This window comes from Homo sapiens, chromosome 10 (genome assembly GCF_000001405.40).
Source record: "Homo sapiens chromosome 10, GRCh38.p14 Primary Assembly".
Taxonomy (NCBI): Eukaryota; Metazoa; Chordata; class Mammalia; order Primates; family Hominidae; genus Homo; species Homo sapiens.
In genome coordinates, this window is record NC_000010.11 from 21246940 (window position 1) to 21264474 (window position 17535).

Genomic DNA, 17535 nt, shown 5'->3' on the forward strand with positions numbered 1-17535 from the left:
ATGGTAGGAGGTGATTGGATCATGGGTGTGAATTTCCCCCTTGCTGTTCTCGTGATAGTGAGTGAGTTCTCATGAGATCTGGCAGTTTAAAAGTGTGTAGCACCTCCCCCTTCACTCTCTCTCTCCCCTGTTCCACCATGTGAAGATGTGCCTGCTTCCCCTTTGCCCTTCCTCCATGATTGTAAGTTTCCTGAGGACTCCCCCGCTATGCTTCCTGTGTAGCCTGTGGAACTGTAAGTCAATTAAACCTCTTTCCTTCATAAATTACCCAGTCTCACAGTTATTTATAGCAGTGTGAGAACAGACTAATATACGTACAACGGAATACTATTCAGCAATAAAATGGAACAGACTATTGATACAACAACTTGGATGAATCTCAGGCATTATGCTAAGTGAAAGAAGCAGTCTCAAAAGATTATTTACTGTATGATTATTTTCACTTGACATTCGCTAGAAGACAAAACTATAATGATGAAAACCAGATCGGTAGCTGTCTGGGGTTGGAGTTGGGGGAGCAAAGAAAATTTAGATCACAGGAGTAGGGCAGCTCCAGGATTGATGTAGGGACTCCCTAACATAGCCAGAGACATGGGGTCTTTCTAATTTTTCACCTCATCATCCTCAGCAAGTGGCTGGTCTGCTTCATCCTCTACTGAAAATCTGTTCCCATTAAGCAATAATTCCCCTATTTGCTGCTTCCCCAAGTCCCTGGTAACCACTGTTGTGCTTCCTGTCTGTATGAATTTACCTATTCTAGGTACCTCATACATGTGAAATCATGCAGAGTGTGGTGCTGTGACACAGAGGAGATGGCTTCACTTCATAACCTAACACTTTCTGAAAAAGTGCTGACAAATCATCCCAGCTGGACAAAGTTTAATTTCCTAGATATGTCTCTAGATGACATTATAATCTATAAAAAGTTAGAAGAGATAAACGCTGAAAAAGAATAAAAGAACCATAGTAAAAAGGATTCACCTTCAAGACAGCAATCAAATGCTCATGGACATCACCAGCAGAGAGGATACCCAAGATTCAGAAGCAACTCTGAGGAAGGAAATTATGATTAAAAAAAAAAAAAAAACCATCCCAAGAAACTTCTGGATTCAAGTCTGGACGGCACCCTTTAAATGGGCAGCCTTTAACTGATCAGGGTCTCATTCTGTTGCCCAGGCTGGAATGCAGTGGTGCAATCATGGCTCGCTGCCCCCTCGACCTCCCGGGCTCAAGTAATCCTCCCACCTCAGCCTCCTAAGTAGCTGGGACTACAGGCATATGCCACCATGCCCTGCTAATTTTTTTTTTCTTTTCTGTAGAGATGAGGTCTCACTATGTTGCCCAGGCTGGGAAAGCATCCTTCTATTGCTCATACTTTTGAAACTTTTGAGACTATCACTACAGCCAAACTCACTAGAAAAAAAAAAAATTACCTTGCAGTGAAGAAATGTATTTAAAAAAATAAGTGGAATCATGCAAAATTTGTCCCTTTGTGTCTGGCTTATTTCACTCAGCATAATGTCCTCAAGATTCATCCATGTTGTATCATGTGTCAGAATTCTATTCCTTATTAGGACTGAAGAACATTCGATACATGTAGATCACATTTTGCTTACCCATTGATCTATCAATGGATGCTCATGTTGTTTCCATCTTTTGGTTATTGTGAATAATGCTGCTATGAACATGAGGTTATAAATATCTGTTTGAGTCCCTGCCTTCAATATTTTTGCGTATATGCCCAGGAGTAGAGTTGTTGAATCCTATGGTGATTCTATATTTAATTTTTTGACAAACCACCATACCATTTTCCATGGCGGCTGCACCATTTTGCCTTTGCACCAGCAATGCACAAGGGTTCCAATTTCTCCACCTTGCCAATCTTTGTTGTTTTCTGTTTTGTTTTTTTTTTTGACAATAGACATCCCAATGGGTATGAAGTGATGTCTCATTGTGGTTTTGATTTGCATTTCCCTAATGATTAATGACATTGAGCATCATTTCATTGTGCTTATTAACCATTTGTAGATCTTCTTTAGAGAAATATCTATTTAAGTCCTTTGCTCATTTTTGGGTGTTTTTGTTTTTGTTTTTGTTTTTGCTTTGAGAGACAGGGTCTCACTCTATCACCCAGGCTGGAGTGCAGTGGCATGATCATAGTTCACTCCAGCCTCAAACTCCTGATCTGAAGTGATCCTGCCACCTCAGCCTCCCAAAGCACTTGAGTTACAGGCATGAGCACCATACCCAGCCCCATTTTTTAATTGGGTTGTTTGGTACTTTTTGTCGTTGAATCTTAGGAGTTATTTATATATTCTGGATATTAATCCTTTATGAGATACGTGATTTGAAAGTATTTTCTTCCATTTGACCCACAGAATGGGAGAAGATATTTACAAATCTGCTGATAGTGTCCTTCAATGTACAAAAGTTTCTAATTTTGGTGAAATTCAATTTGTCTATTTTTCTTTTGTTGCCCATGCTGTGAGTGTTACAACCAAAAAATCATGACCCAATCCAGTGTCATGAAGCTTTTCCCTACTACAAGAGTTTTATGGTTTTAGCTCTTACATTTAGCTATTTCACCCATTTTGAGTTAATTTCAATAGTGATCTTAGGTAAGGTAAGGGTCCTATTTAAATATTTTATTTAAATTTTATTTTTTATATTTTATTTTTATCTATTTTATTTACTTTTAAATTTATTTATTATTTTATTTAATATCATATTTAGAATCATGATTCAAATATTACATGTATCTTTAAAAAGCTCTTTAAGTGGGGAAAATAAATGAATAGAAATAAATTAAATAAATAAATAAAAGCCTTTTAAAATGTTTCCTGGCTGGGTGCAGTGGCTCACACCTGCAATCCCAGCACTTCGGGAGGCTGAGGTGGGTGGATCACCTGAGGTCAGGGGTTTGAGACCAGCCTGACCAACATGGCAAAATCCCGTCTCTAATAAAAATATAAAAATTGACTGGGTGTGGTGGTACACACCTGTAATCCCAGCTACTTGGGAGGCTGAGGTACAAGTATCACTTGAGCCCTAGAGGCAGAGGTTGCAATGAGCCAAGATCACGCCAGTGCACTCCAGCCTGGTGACAGAGCAAAACTCCGTCTCAAAAAAAAAAGAAATCATATTTCACAATGGATCTCTGTGATGGTTAATACTGAGTGTCAACTTGATTGGATTGAAGGATACAAAGTATTGATCCTTGGTGTGTCTGTGAGGGTTTTGTCAAAGGAGATTAATGTTTGAGTCCATGAGCTGAGAAAGGCAGATGCACCCTTAATCTGAGTGGGCACCATCTAATCAGCTGCCAGCTCGGCCAGGATATAAAGCAGGCAGAAAAACATAAAAAGGCTAGATTGGCCTAGCCTCCCAGCCTACATCTTTCTCCCATGCTGGATGCTTCCTGCCCTGGAACATCAGACTCCAAGGTCTTCAGCTTTGGGACTTGGACTGGCTTCCTTTCTCCTCAGCTTGGCTTGCAGACAGCCTATTGTGGGACCTTGTGATTGTGTAAGTTAATACTACTTAATAAACCACCCTTTATATATATACATATACATATCCTGTTAGTTCCATCCCTCTAGAGAACCCTAATACAATTTATGTTTCCTCTATAAATGTCCTTTATGACAGAGCCTCTCATATCCAGTACTTTTTAAACTTTTAAAAAACCTGGCCGGGCTCGGTGGTTCACGCCTGTAATCCCAGCACTTTGGGAGGCCAAGGCAGGTGGATCACCTGAGTTCAGGGGTTCAAGACCAGCCTGGCCAACATGGTGAAACCCCGTCTCTACTAAAAATACAAAAAAAAATTAGCCAGGCATGGTGGTAGGCAACTGTGAGGCAGGAGAATCACTTGAACCCAGAAGGAGGAGGTTGCAGTGAGCTGAGATCACGCCATTGCACTCCAGCCTGGGCAACAAGAGCAAGACTCCATTTCAAAAAATAATAATAATAATCTTTTGGCAATATGGTATGTTTCTTTTTACTAAGTAATGAAGTCCTTGTCATTTTTCATTTTTCCTTTATTTTCTGGGTTGAGAAGAAACTCAGAACTAAGAAGAAGTACTTTTTGATGAATTGCAATTGTTCCTCTTAAACCTAGTTATTTAGTATAATCATTTTCTCATCTTCCTTCTCCCTTCTACACTACCCAAGATTGTATTATTTTTGCTTGTGATATTTTACCTTGATTACACTGATCTGGTAGTAGCTGTTTCTTTTACTTCCTTTTGGAGTAGGAGCTAGCCAGGTACACAGTGATGTGGCCATTTTAACCTCAAAATTAGTAAGATAGAAATAAAAAACATAGCTTGTTCATTTTCTGGAACAGTTTAATCTTATGACCCTCATCCCTCTTGGTAGCTGTGGCCAGGTCGGGGTAGGGCTATCTGAACTAGCCAGTTAATGGTATCTCAGTCTCATCAGGTTGTAATAGTCTATTTCAGTTAGGTCAATCTCTTTCAGATGAATGTTCAGTATTTAATATTAAGATTTTCTCAGGCTATGTAGTAGGTTGAATGGTGTTCTCCCAAAATTCCACCTGAAACCTGTGAATGTAACCTTATTAGGAAATAAGGTCTCTGCAGATGTCCCTTCTCCAAGAGACCTTGTTAGAGACTGAATGTTTGTATCTCTCTTCTCCCAATTCCCCAAAAATGTGTATGTTAAATCCTAATACCAATGTAATGGCATTTGGAAGTAGGGCTTTTGAGAAGCTCCACTCTCATGAACGGGATTAACACCCCTATAAAAAAGGCCCCAGAGAAACCCCTTACCCCTTTTGCCATATGAGGACACAGAGAAAAGATGGCCATCCATGAACCAGGAAGGAATCTGCCAGCGTCTTGATCTTGGACTTCCCAACGTCAAGAACTGTGAGGAATAAATTTCTATTGTTTATATCTACCCAGTTTATGGTATTTGGTCATCACAGCCCAAAAAGACTAAAACAGACCTCAAAATGGAGAACAAGATAAAGCCTTCTCAGCTCTCCACTTCCCTCTCTCCCCATCTAAAACCAGCCCCACCTCCCAGGATGCCAGTCCAAGGAGGGAAGTCAGGCCTCACAGCTTCCCCGCCCTCCGCTTCTCTTCATTCTGTGTCCTCAGGACTAAAGGGCATCAACTTCTCCTACTTCTCATGTACCTCATAGCCTTGGCTTATAGAAAAGTCTCCGGCTTTTGAAGTATTAAAGGGAGCTTAAGAAACTTAGAAAACACTTCCTCTATTACAGTCTGGTTTTCAATAGTCTTGCTGTGGACTCAAATATCCTATTTTGGATATCTAACACTTACCATTGATTCTTTCTTTTTGCAATTGTGTGTAATAACTCTAATCCTTCCCAAGGCAAGTAAATGCCCCTGGCAGAATATGTGGAAAATCACACAAGCACTAAAGACAGACAAAAAAAGCAGAAAGCAGAATTATGTTGATTGATTGATTGATAGATAGATAGATATTTTATATTAGCCTTGTTACAGGAAAGCAGGGAAAAAGCAAACTCCATGCCCTAATTTTAGGTGAATTAGTTTTGGATCTTGTAATTCATGTTGAGAGTTTTTAAGGAATTGAGCTATCCAAAAGAAGCAAGCCCAAAGATACCACGTTTTTAAAATGCACAACCTTACTGGGAAAAAATATATATAAATATACAGAAAAGGGGCCACATCGAAGCATATACAAGTAGAATATCTTGCCTATAAAAATGAGGCAGAGGAGGCTGGGCGCGGTAGCTCACACCTGTAATCCTAGCACTTCGGGAGGCCAAGGCGGGCAGATCACCTGAGGTCAGGAGTTCAAGACCAGCCTGACCGACATAGAGAAACCCTGTCTCTACTAAAAATACAAAATTAGCCAGGCATGGTGGCGCATGCCTGTAATCCCAGCTACTTGGGAGGCTGAGGCAGGAGAATCACTTGAACCCGGGAGGTGAAGGCTGTGGTGAGCTAAGATTACACCACTGCACTCCAGCCGGGGCAACAAGAGAGAAACTCCATCCCAAAAAAGCAAATAAATAAGGCAGAGGCCAGGCATGGCTGCTAACGCCTGTAATCCCAGCATTTTGGGAGGCTGAGGAGGGTGGATCACCTGAGCGCAAGAGTTCGAGACCAGTCTGGCCAGCATGGAGAAACCCCATCTCTACTAAAAATACAAAAATTAGCTGGGCATGATGGCAGGCACCTGTAATCCAAGCTACTCAGGAGGCTGAGGCAAGAGAGGTGAGAGAATCGCTTGAACGAGGGAGGCGAAGGTTGCAGTGAGCCAAGATCGTGCCATTGCACTCTTGCCTGGGCGACAAGAATGAAACTCTGTCTCAAAAGTAATAATAATAAGGCAGAAGCCAGAGACTACTGACTGTGGAGTGTTGAGAAGAAACAGGGGCCTGAGTCACAAATAGAGAGAGATTTATAGGTACAGAGCACAAGAGAAAAAGATAATCTGGACGCTCCTGACCAAATTTTTGCGAGCCATGGCACACAGAGGAAAAATATTGGCTTCGCATGCTGGGATAAACTAGACAACATTGAGGGTAGGAGCCATTTATAGAGTACTTAGTGGGAAAACGTCATTACTTTTTAAACCTCTTTTTTTTTTTTTTTTTTTTGAGATGGAGTTTTGCTCTTGTTGCCGAGGCTGGAGTGCAATGGCGCAATCTCGGCTCACCACAACTTCTGCCTCCTGGGTTCAAGCGCTTCTCCTGCCTCAGCCTCCCGAGTAGCTGGGATTACAGGTGCCTGCTACCATGCCTGGCTAATTTTTCTATTTTTAGTAGAGATGGAGTTTAGCCATGTTGGCCAGGCTGGTCTCAAACTCCTGACCTCAGATGATCTGTCCACCTTGGTCTCCCAAAGTACTGGGATTACAGGCATGAGCCACTCGCACCTGGCCAAAATGCCAACTTTTTAAGGATGATCTCTTCAAATTCTTGGAAGTCATTGTCAATGAGATCACTTTTAAATGAGAAACTTCAGAGAGTTTTAAATGAAGAAACTTTGCACAAATACATGCTAAAGAATGTAAAGTGATTTTTACATCTATCCAAAATGTACAATAGTTGAAATATTGAAAGACTTGATTATTCATATTCTTTATTGATAAATGTAACATTTAAATGTCTTATGATAATATGGATGGATTTCTAATTCAATCAGACCCTTTCATATGTAGAATTTTAAAATAATAATGAAAAAATATTTTTAGAGACAGGGTCTTGTTCTGTTGCCCAAGCTGGAGTTCAACGGCATGATCATAGCTCACTGCAGCCTTGAACCACTGGGCTCAAGTGATCCTCCCATCTCAGCCTTCCAAATAGCTGGGGCTACAGGCACATTCCACCATGCCCAGCTAAGTTGTTTTTGTAGAGACAGGGTCTTGCTATGCTGCCCAGGCTGGTCTTGAACTCCTGATCTTCCATCTCAGCCTCACAAATTTCTGGGATTACGGGCATGAGCCACCATACCTGGCCCAATAATGTAATTGTTTATTGTCTTTTGTTTTTTTTTTCTTTGAGATGTTGTCACCCTGTCACCCAGGCTAGAGTGCAGTGGCACAATGTTGGCTCACTGCAACCTCTGCCTCCCAGATTCAAGCGATTCTTATGCCTCAGCCTCCCAAGTTGCTGGTATTACAGGTGTGCACCACCACATCCAACTAATAATAATGGAATTTTTAATTCACAGAACATGCACGTGTTGTTGGGGCAATTAACCAGCCCCTAGTTTAAGCACCACTGCAAGGACGTGGCCAGGCACAAATGGACAGAAGTATCTGAAATAGGTGAAGAGGAAGATTTGGGACCACCCAGGAGCTGCACCCACCAGTAGCTGCACCCACTAGGGGCCCCTGTCTGGACTTCACATACCCTGCCCATGACTGCCTGACCCTGGGGCTTGTGTCTTACTTCCTGGAGACCTAAATGGACACACCAGGGCCGCTGGTCTAGACCAGGCAATGTCCCAAGCTGTGGCTGGCTGTTGAGGTCCAAGTTCACATGGCAGAGCACCTCATTAGCCACACATAGTGTGTGTTGGGGTAACAACAGAATGCTGATGTAGCTGGAGTTCTCTGCCTTGGAGGCCATAGGACAGTCTATCAGACTCTGCTCCCTGCAAACCTCCCTCCGAAGGGCCCCAAACAAAGCTGCTTGAGTCTGAAGATGGTTCGCCCAGGAGCTTCATCCACACCAGTCCCTGCCAGGCTACCCTGAGAGTTTAAGAGGGCGATGGCTCACAGGCACATGTGTAACCCATGAGTGGCACATATGGGAATTAGAGCGAGAACGTCATGTCCTAAGGCCAGATATGAGAAGCAGCTGAGTGTATATATTAGTGATGGAGAAAAGACCCGTGGAGGAACCAAGGTTGAGAGGAGGAGTCAGTACAAGCAGATAGGCTGAGAGATGCTGACTCGGGTATTGCGAGCTGAGGATCTAACATGTGATCTGATAATAAAGACCTACTAAAAATCATTTGACAAAGTATAAGCTGTGCTGTTCAATACAGTAGCCATTAACCACACGCAACTACTTAGATTTAAATTTAAATTCATTAACAATAAATAAAATTGTAAATTTGGGTTCCTTCATTATACCGGTCACATTTCAAGTGTTCAAGAGCTGACACGTGGCTAGTGGCCACTTTACTGGACAACATCATCGTAGGAAATTTCACTGCAATGCTGCATCAAAGAATATTCCCCCTTAACTATGATAAATCTTCAGCATCAGAGAATAATCCAACCTCTGAAAAGGATTCATCTCCGGCTGGGCGCGGTGGCTCACACCGGTAATCCCAACACTTTGGGAGGCCAAGGTGGGCAGATCACGAGGTCAGGAGATCGAGACCAGCCTGGCCAACATGGTGAAACCCCATCTCTACTAAAAATACAAAAAATTAGCCAGGCGTGGGTCCCAGCTACTCGGGAGGCTGAGGCAGGAGAATTGCTTGAGCCCGGGAGGCAAAGGTTGCAGTGAGCTGAGATCGCACCACTGCACTCCAGCCTGGGCGACAGAGCGAGACTCTGTCTCAAAAAAAAAAAAGAAAAAGAAAAAAAAGGATTCATCTCCAGCCTTCTGAGACAAATTTTAATGATAAATTCACTACTGAAATTTATTTTTATGTCCCTGTTTTGGGGATTGAGTCTTGCTCTCTCACTCAGGCTGCAGTGCAGTGTCACAATCTCAGCTCACTGCAACCTCCACATCCTGGGTTCAAGTGATTCTCCTGCCTCAGCCTCTTTAGTAGCTGGGATTACACACACCCACCACCATACCTGGCTAATTTTTGTATTTTTAGTAGAGATGGGGTGTCACCTTGTTGGCCAGGCTGGTCTCAAACTCCTGACCTCAAGTAGTCCGCCCACCTTGGCCTCCCAAAATGCTGAGATTACAGGCGTGAGCCATCACACCCAGCCTCTTTTTATTTCCCTTTCAAGCCATAGGCTGAGGTATGCTGAAGCCAGTTGATACTGTCCCACAGCTGCTGAATGTTAAATTTCCTGGGATATTACAAACCAGTTGCTAAACATAACCACTATTAAAAACTAAATATGTAAACTTAAAATTAAATAAATTATATTAAAAACAAAGATAACAGGCTGGATGAGGTAGCTCATGCCTGTAATCCCAGCCCTTTGGGAGGCTAGGATGGGAGGATAACTTGAGGCCAGGAGTTCGAGACCAGCCTAGGCAACATAGTGAGACCCTGTCTCTAAAAATATTTTGAGTATTATCTGGGTACAGTGGGTCACACCTGCAGTCCCAGCTACTCAAGAGACTGATACAGGAGGATCCAGAAACTCCTTGAGCCCAGGAGTTCCAGGCTGTAGTGAGCTCTGATCGTAGCACTGCACTCCTGCCTAGGCAACAGAGCAAGACCCTGTCTAAAAATAATAGTAAGTACTCAAACTTACTCTTCCTAATTATTTTTTCTACATTTGACTGCTATCTATGCTGTTGAGGTTTTGTATGTCTACTGGTTCTATAAGCAGAAATACCATATAATGGTGGGCTACCACCATCTCTCCCCACTGCCATGCTGGTAGCTTGAAATTGGCCATAGTGGGAATAACAACACTATGAAAATTAGCCATCACTGAAAATAGGGCTTTTGCTTCAGAGTGCCAATTGCTAAACATTTATCAGCATACTTCTGCTCCTTTCTCACAGTATTATCTATTGAGTGTTTTATATTAAAATTATATGACTTGGGTCCTGGAATAAACACTACCAAGCAAAGGATAAAGTTTCAATGTGGCTACTGTTTACCATCAAGCATTGTTTTCAGTATTTCTATGAGGCCCTGAGATTCAGACATACCTATATAAATATCTTCACTGCCACTTACGAGCCTGTGTCCTTAGTAAACTAGGGAAACTTTCTTGTTGTGTATCCTCAGGGAATCTGGTGAGCTCAACACCTCTGAGCTTAGCCAAGCCACTTCAAGCACAGTGGAGATAATGATAAGAATCTTACAGCGTTCTCCTGAGGATTATGTTTTAATATGTATGTAAAGTGCCTGGCACATAATAGCTAGTAAGCACTGGTCCTCACCTCCATTGCTGTAGGAACTGAAAAACACTAAAAAAGTTTAAGTCCTGGTCTGTTTTCACAAGAGGTGACAATCTGGTTGATGTAAAAAACCACCAAAACGCCGTGCATGGTGGCTCACGCCTGTAATCCCAGCACTTTGGGAGGCCGAGGCGGGCGGATCACAAGGTCAGGAGATCGAGACCATCCTGGCTAACACAGTGAAACCCCATCTCTACTAAAAATACAAAAAACTAGGTGGGTGTGGTGGCAGGCACCTGTAGTCCCAGCTACTTGGGAGGCTGAGGCAGGAGAATGGCGTGAAACCAGGAGGTGGAGCTTGCAGTGAGCCTGGATCGCGCCACTGCACTCCAGCCTGGGTGGCAGAGCGAGACTCCATCTCACACACACACACCCCAAAAAAAAAACATCAAAACACACACACACACACTACATACATATATTGTTTTTTAATATCTTTAAGTCTAGATTACATGCTTTCTTGGTTTGGGTTCTCCCAAGAGCAGGGCCTGAGATAAGATCTTGTGTTGTATTTTGTTTGGAAGATGATTCCGGGAAACAGGAGTGAGAAAGCAGGGAGACTGAGTGTGAAGGAGGAAATGACAATACAAGAAAGCATGATCAAAATCACTGCTATAAGCTGAGCACAGTGACTCAAGCCTGTAGTCCCAGCAACTCAGGAGGCTGAGGCGGGAGGATGGCTGGAGCCCAGATGTTCACAACTGCAATGAGCTATGATTGCACCACTACACTCCAGATCACTGCTATAGAAAACAGAGGTTGAGGCTGGGTGCAGTGGCTTATGCCTGTAATCCCACTACTTGGAGAGGCCAAGGCAGGTGGATCACTTGAGGTCAGGAGTTCAAGACCAGCCTGGCCAACATGGTGAAATCCCCTTTCTACTAACAATACAAAAATTAGGCCAGGAGCTGTGGCTCGTACCTGTAATCCCAGCACTTTGGGAGGCCGAGACAGGTGGATCAACTGAGGCTGGGAGTTTGAGACCAGCCTGGCCAAAGTGGTGAAACCCCATCTCTACTAAAAATACAAAAATTAGCCGGGTGTGGTGGCGGGCGCCTGTAATCCCAGCTACTCAGGAGGCTGAGGCAGCAGAATCGCTTGAACCCAGGAGACGGAGGTTGCAGTGAGCTGAGATCACGCCATTGCACTCCAGCCTGGGTGACAAAAGCGAAACACCATCTCAAAAAAAATAATAAATAAAAATAATTAGCCAGGTGTGGTGACAGGCGCCTGTAATCCCAGCTACTCAGGAGGTTGAGGCAGGAGAATTACTTGAACTCAGGAAGCAGAGGTTGCAATGAGCCGAGATCACGGCCACTGCACTCTGGCCTGGGCTGGAATAATAATAGCTAATATTTACTGAGGACCTGCATTGGGTCAGGCAATGTTCTAGGTACTTTATGTAGTTTAGGTCATTTAATCCTCACAATAATCCTATGAAATAGATCCTATGATTACCCCCATTTTACAGATGACGAAAGTGAAGGCTGAGATGATAAGTAGTTTGCCCAGTAGTGGTGATACTTGGGGAAAAAAAGACGCACAGTCTTTTTTTTTTTTTAATAGCTTTTTTGTCTTTTTTGAGACAGAGTCTCTCTCTGTCACCCAGGCTGGAGTGCAGTGGCAGAATCTCAGCTTACTGCAAACTCCGCCTCTTAGGTTCAAGCGATTCTTGTGCCTCAGCCTCCCGAGCAGCTGGGATTACAGGAGTGTGCCACCATGCCCAGCTAATTTTTGTATTTGTAGTACAGACGGAGTTTCACAACATTGGCCAGGCTAGGAAACACACAGACTTCATCACTAGGCTGTGCCCATCCCTACTTGGAGACGGCGAGGAAGAGAGCGAATGGATACAGGAGGAAGTGAGGGTGCAGCTATGAAACTGACTCAGACAGGCTTCAAGTTCATTCCCACCCTTACTTCCTAGGGTTTGGGATGTTACTTCACCTTCTGTTCCTCATCCCGTGCCTCTTTCTAGCCTTTCCCACCCTCAAAAGATCCACACCTAGAGATAATACCTGGTCATTGCTTAACCAGCTCCACCCCAAGCCCCACCCTTACCCGTATCCCTCTTGCTAACAGCACCTCAACTTTCCTTTGAGGGAACACCAGTCTTCCTGGTGGCAAAGCCTTGTGTTTGGGGTGGATTGGCCCCTACCCTCAGCTCCAGAGGAGGCCCCAACGGCCAAAAACAATCAGCAGAATTGCACCCCACGTGCGATGGCTTCAGGGATGTGTAGTAATCCAGGCCTAAACCAGTCAGCCCCCTGCCTTTCCTTGGCCACAATATTGCAAGCGTCTTCCTAGAGGGCAGGGGGGTGGATCTAAGGTGGAACAGGAAGGTGCAAGACTTCGGCTTCATGTTTGAGTGGCGGAGGAAGCATGTCACCCTGAAGGCAGTTGGCAGCCACTTTGCAACCAAGAGAGAAGCCAACCTTGGAGTAAACCTGATACCACTGGAGGCAGCACGGAAGAGAAAAAGAAATCCAGTCCTTGGCAATATTATTGAACCATTGGATCCAACCAACCCAGTCCTGCCTTGCATCTGGGTTTTCCTGTTAGGCAAATCAATACGTTTCCAGATTGCTTGAAATGGTTTGCATTGGGTTATGCTGAAACTGAAGCATTCCTTAATGACTGAGTCCACGGGAAGCCCTAGAATGAAACAGCTCATCCGGGAATCCGGTCCAGACTTCTGCAGCCTCTAGCCCTTTGAAAACAGCTCCAGACAGGAGCAGGTCATCCAACCCTATCTGCTTAAGAGCCACTTTTCCAAAGGCCAGAAGGCTCTGGAGAAAGCCCAGGGCCTGTGGTGTGCCAAATTTGCTAACAGGGCCTGCGGATTCCAGACGCAGTCTGATGGGCTTCTTTATTCTATCATTATGTTCATCATTTTCTTATTTGCAATTAGAAACATTGACTTTTAATTTAGATAATTTCCTCTTTTTCTTTTTGCCTTGCCTTTAAAATAGATCTGCTCTAGGATGCTGAGTTATAAACTGCCCTTGATTGTGTGTTCATTTGTTCAAGTATTTGGTATATTGGCAGCCAAGAAGCCCCAGGCTCTGAATCACTATGTTCCCCTGTTTTCCCTTTCCAAGTATTCCGTTAAAACCCATGATGAAACCAGACAGGCAGAGCTTTCAGGCATTCTTCTGAAGGTCGAGCCCTTCTCTTCTGCACCCCGGTCAGCTCCTACTCAGGACCTGGCATCTCCTAAAAGAGAAAAAATGTTGCCCCTCATTATGCCCTTGCTGAAGTTCTAGCCACACACAAAACAGCAAATCCGTTCAGAGCAGAGGAATTTTCTTTAGAGATTCTTCCAAAAGCTCAACAGCAACGAACAACAAAATCTTGCAGTGAAAGTTAAAAACATTAGGGAGTCACAGGCGCTCTCGATACTTAAACCTCATGGTGGTGCACGGGAGCACTGGTGTAGACTCGCAAGCAGGAAGCATTTCCATTTCAGTCAGTAAGAAGGGATCGTGGATGGCAAGGCATGCTTTGATGTGCTGATCCTCTTATTGAATTTCTTTCTCTAGTTGTTCTACTTGTGAGGATAGTTGTCCGCTTGAATCACTAATGCTTCTTGCAGGTCTTGGTTTACACCTATTAGACTAAACACACCCCAGGGAAATGGTGGGTAACCCCTGTCTGAATACACATGAAACATCAAGGCAGTGGGAGCCACAAGGCTCCAGGCTGCTCTGCTAAATGTCACTGACATTAAGTGTCCCAGAAGAGTCTCTAAAAAGAAAGGAAAATTATCCTGATTCCAACCTTCAATAATGGACGCTGAACCTCATGATGGAAGTTTTTCATCCTAATCATCAGTACCTTCAAAATAAAGAGACAGGCTGGGCACAGCGGCTCACACTGTAAGCCTAGCACTTTGGGAAGCTGAGGCAGGAGGATTGCTTGAGCCCAGGAGTTCAAGACCAACCTGGGCAACAAAGTGAGGCACTATCCCTACAAACAATATAAAAATCAGCCAGGCGTGGTGGTCCCAGCTACACAGGAGGCTGGGGCAGAAGGATTGCTTAGGCCCGGGAGGCTGAGGCTGCAGTGAGCCATGACCACACCATTGCACACCATCCCAGGTAACAGAGTGAGACCCTGTCTCAAAAAAAAAAAGAAAGAAAGAAAGAAAAGAAAAAAGTGTCCCAGGAGATGCTCTAAAAAGAAAGCAAAAGCAAAATGATCTTGATTCTAGCCTTCAATAAAGGATACTGAGCCTCGTGATAGACTTGTTTTTATCCTAATCTCCCTACCTTTAAAATAAAGAGATAGGAGTGTCAGCGGCAACACACACTCACATGCACCAAAACAGCCCTGCGTGTCCTGCTGAGACGTGCACACTCCCAGCTGTTGCCATGGTTCACTCAGACCAGCAGCAGCCGCCTGGAGACCATGCAGGAATGGAGTCCACACTGTTCAGTCCAAGATATCGCCTGGGATAATGAGCAGAGGCCTAAGGATTTTGAAAGCCAAAAGGCCCCTCTCTTTTGTAAGGCTGCCCCCAACCGAAAGCCGACAAAAAAGAGAAGGGTAAAATAAAACAGACTTTGTCTTATTATCCTGGCACACACGCCTGGTGATCCCTGGCTTAGCTGGCAAATTGCGAGGGCCTCGATAGGAGATTCAAAACTCAACAAGTGGCTGTCACTATGGAAACGGCTCCAATGAACCCCAAGAATGAAGGACGCTGGCCTGAGGAAAATGTCGGAGGAGGATCGCTGTGTCTCTGAATACGCCATCACGAAATGCTTTGCTGGGGAAGAGGTTAAACTGATTGAACAAGTGCCTCTGCACAAGAAGTTTGCCCCAGATCACAGGATTTAGAAGGGAAGGTGCTCTCTGGCCCACTCGGCTAGGGGGACCCAAGCTGCGTGAATCTGGCCCCACGCCTGTTCCCTATGGGGGTCTCTGAAGAGTGTCAGTCTTGCAAAGCTCCCAGTGCCAGAGCTGGAAACCCAGGGAGAAACGAAGGAAAGCAAAATGTATCTGGGATTGGAAATTAAACTGGGGCTTTGATGAATTCAAAGCTGTGGGCAGTTAAATATAGGGCTGAATTTTCTCTCAGGAAGTGATCAAAATCAAGGTCACAATTTTTAAAAGAAATTTCCCCAGAAAAGCCTCATTTCCAAGAGAAGGCCAGGCTTGTGTCTGAGCACATTGGTTGAGCCTAGGGTCCGGCCCCAAGGCTGGGGCTGGGGATGGAAGGCTGAACTTAGCATCTGCCATCCCTCCCTGGTCTGTGACTCCATGATAATTGGCTGGTGGGTGTAGTGGTTTTCCAGTGTGCCCATGATTACAAACCTCTCTTTAAATTCCGTGTAGACATTCTAAATAGCACGTTTGTAGACGATTACCCAGTCAGGAGATTATACAAACGCAATAACTAACATCAGAGCAGGATTCTCTTTCAGCATCAGGGGACAGAAAAGGCCATCTAAAAACAGTACCCACAGCCCCTTTGGTGGGCTTCTCAAGAAGATACAGATGTATTATCTACTTTGGGTCTTTTGTGGATGCACAAGGTGCTGTTATAGTGACAGTAATAATAATAAGAGAAATAATCACAATGGCAACAGCGATTGAACACATATTATGTTCTGGGCATTGTTCTAAGTACTCTTAGCGTAGGTATTTACCCATTTAATCCTCATACCACTTGAGGTATTGTAACCAAGTCCAAAGCTTGTACTGCTCACTGCATCACAGCCAATAAGTCAAGAGATAAGGAATTGGGACAAGGAAAACACCTTTTATTAAGAAGAGCCAGCAAATTGAGAAGATGGCGGACTAGTGTCCTAAAGAAACACCCTAAGCTAATAGAATTCTAGGCTCCTGTTATGTTAGGGGAAAGGGAAAGGGGGCGGGGGGTTGAGATCAAGAGGTGACTGATGATCACAGACATCTGGGTGGCAGTAAGAGTCCAAGCGGGGGAGGTTGTGAAACTTCTTTGTCCGTGACCAGGTCACAGTGCTTCTATAAATTTTAGCATAGCATGCTTACTTGTGTGTGCTCTCCTATCTCCCCGGGGGTTAGTTTTGGGAAGGGACTATGATTATTCTTGCTTTAAAATTAAACTCTAAGCTAAATTCTTCCCATAGTTAGCTTGGCCTACGTGCAGAGATAAGCAAAAGCGGTTAAACTGGCCAGGCACAGTGGCTCACGCCTGTAATCCCAGTACTTTGAGAGGCCGAGGCAGGCGGATCACCTGAGGTCAGGAGTTCAAGACCAGCCTGGGCAACATGGCGAAACCCCGTCTCTACTAAAAATACAAAAATTAGCCGGGCGTGGTGGTGGGTGCCTATAATCCCAGATACTCGGGAGGTTGAAGCAGGAGAATCACTTGAACCTGGGAGGCAGAGGTTGCCGTGAGCCAAGATCACACCATTGCACTCCAGCCTGGGCAATAACAGTGAAACTCCGTCTCAAACAAACAAACAAAAAGCAGTTAAACCAAAAGATATCACCATGGCAGGAGTAGGAGGGAGGGTGGTGCAGTTAGGGGCAAAATGGAGCTAGTCATGCTAGGCCTCCTTTTCTCTGCTACAGTATTCCTCTTTTCCAGATCTAACAGTTGAAGAAACTGGCCCAGTGGTGCCATAAGAAGTTTATACTGTGGTTGGATTTGAGGCATATCCACTTCACACTGTGTCCCCAGTTGGGATGATCCTGTAGGGAGATAGCCTGAAGCAGAAGTGTAGGGAGCTGGAAAGGCACAGCACTGATATATAAAGAGCATCTCTCATCTGCCCCTACCACGGTGCTGGGACAGTGCAGCACCATTGTCCATGGCCTTCCAGGCAGCACATGGCCCTCTGCAAGGAGCTAGAGAAGAGGCATTTGCTGGGCCTTTGCCTCAGGAATGAACTGGGTGGGCCATCCCATCCCCACAAGAGCAAAGGGCTGACAGAGCAAGTTGCCACCCTTCTGCAGGTG

General features: G+C 44.4%; 1 protein-coding gene and 1 pseudogene across 2 annotated transcripts in view; one reads left to right on the forward strand and one right to left on the reverse strand.

Moving 5' to 3' along the window:
* NEBL (nebulette) overlaps window positions 1-17535 on the reverse strand; it is a 513078-nt gene that overhangs the window by 466967 nt on the left and 28576 nt on the right. The window contains exons 2-3 of one of the 2 annotated variants that reach the window (NM_001377327.1): window positions 4793-4889; window positions 982-1050 (exon numbers count right to left, since the gene is read on the reverse strand). The exons of the other annotated variant lie outside the window; for it this stretch is intronic. The gene's annotated coding sequence lies outside the window, so the exon portion shown is untranslated. The remainder of the gene's footprint in view (window positions 1-981; window positions 1051-4792; window positions 4890-17535) is intronic. 2 annotated transcript variants of the gene reach the window in all.
* LUZP4P1 (leucine zipper protein 4 pseudogene 1) lies at window positions 811-1157 on the forward strand (annotated as a pseudogene).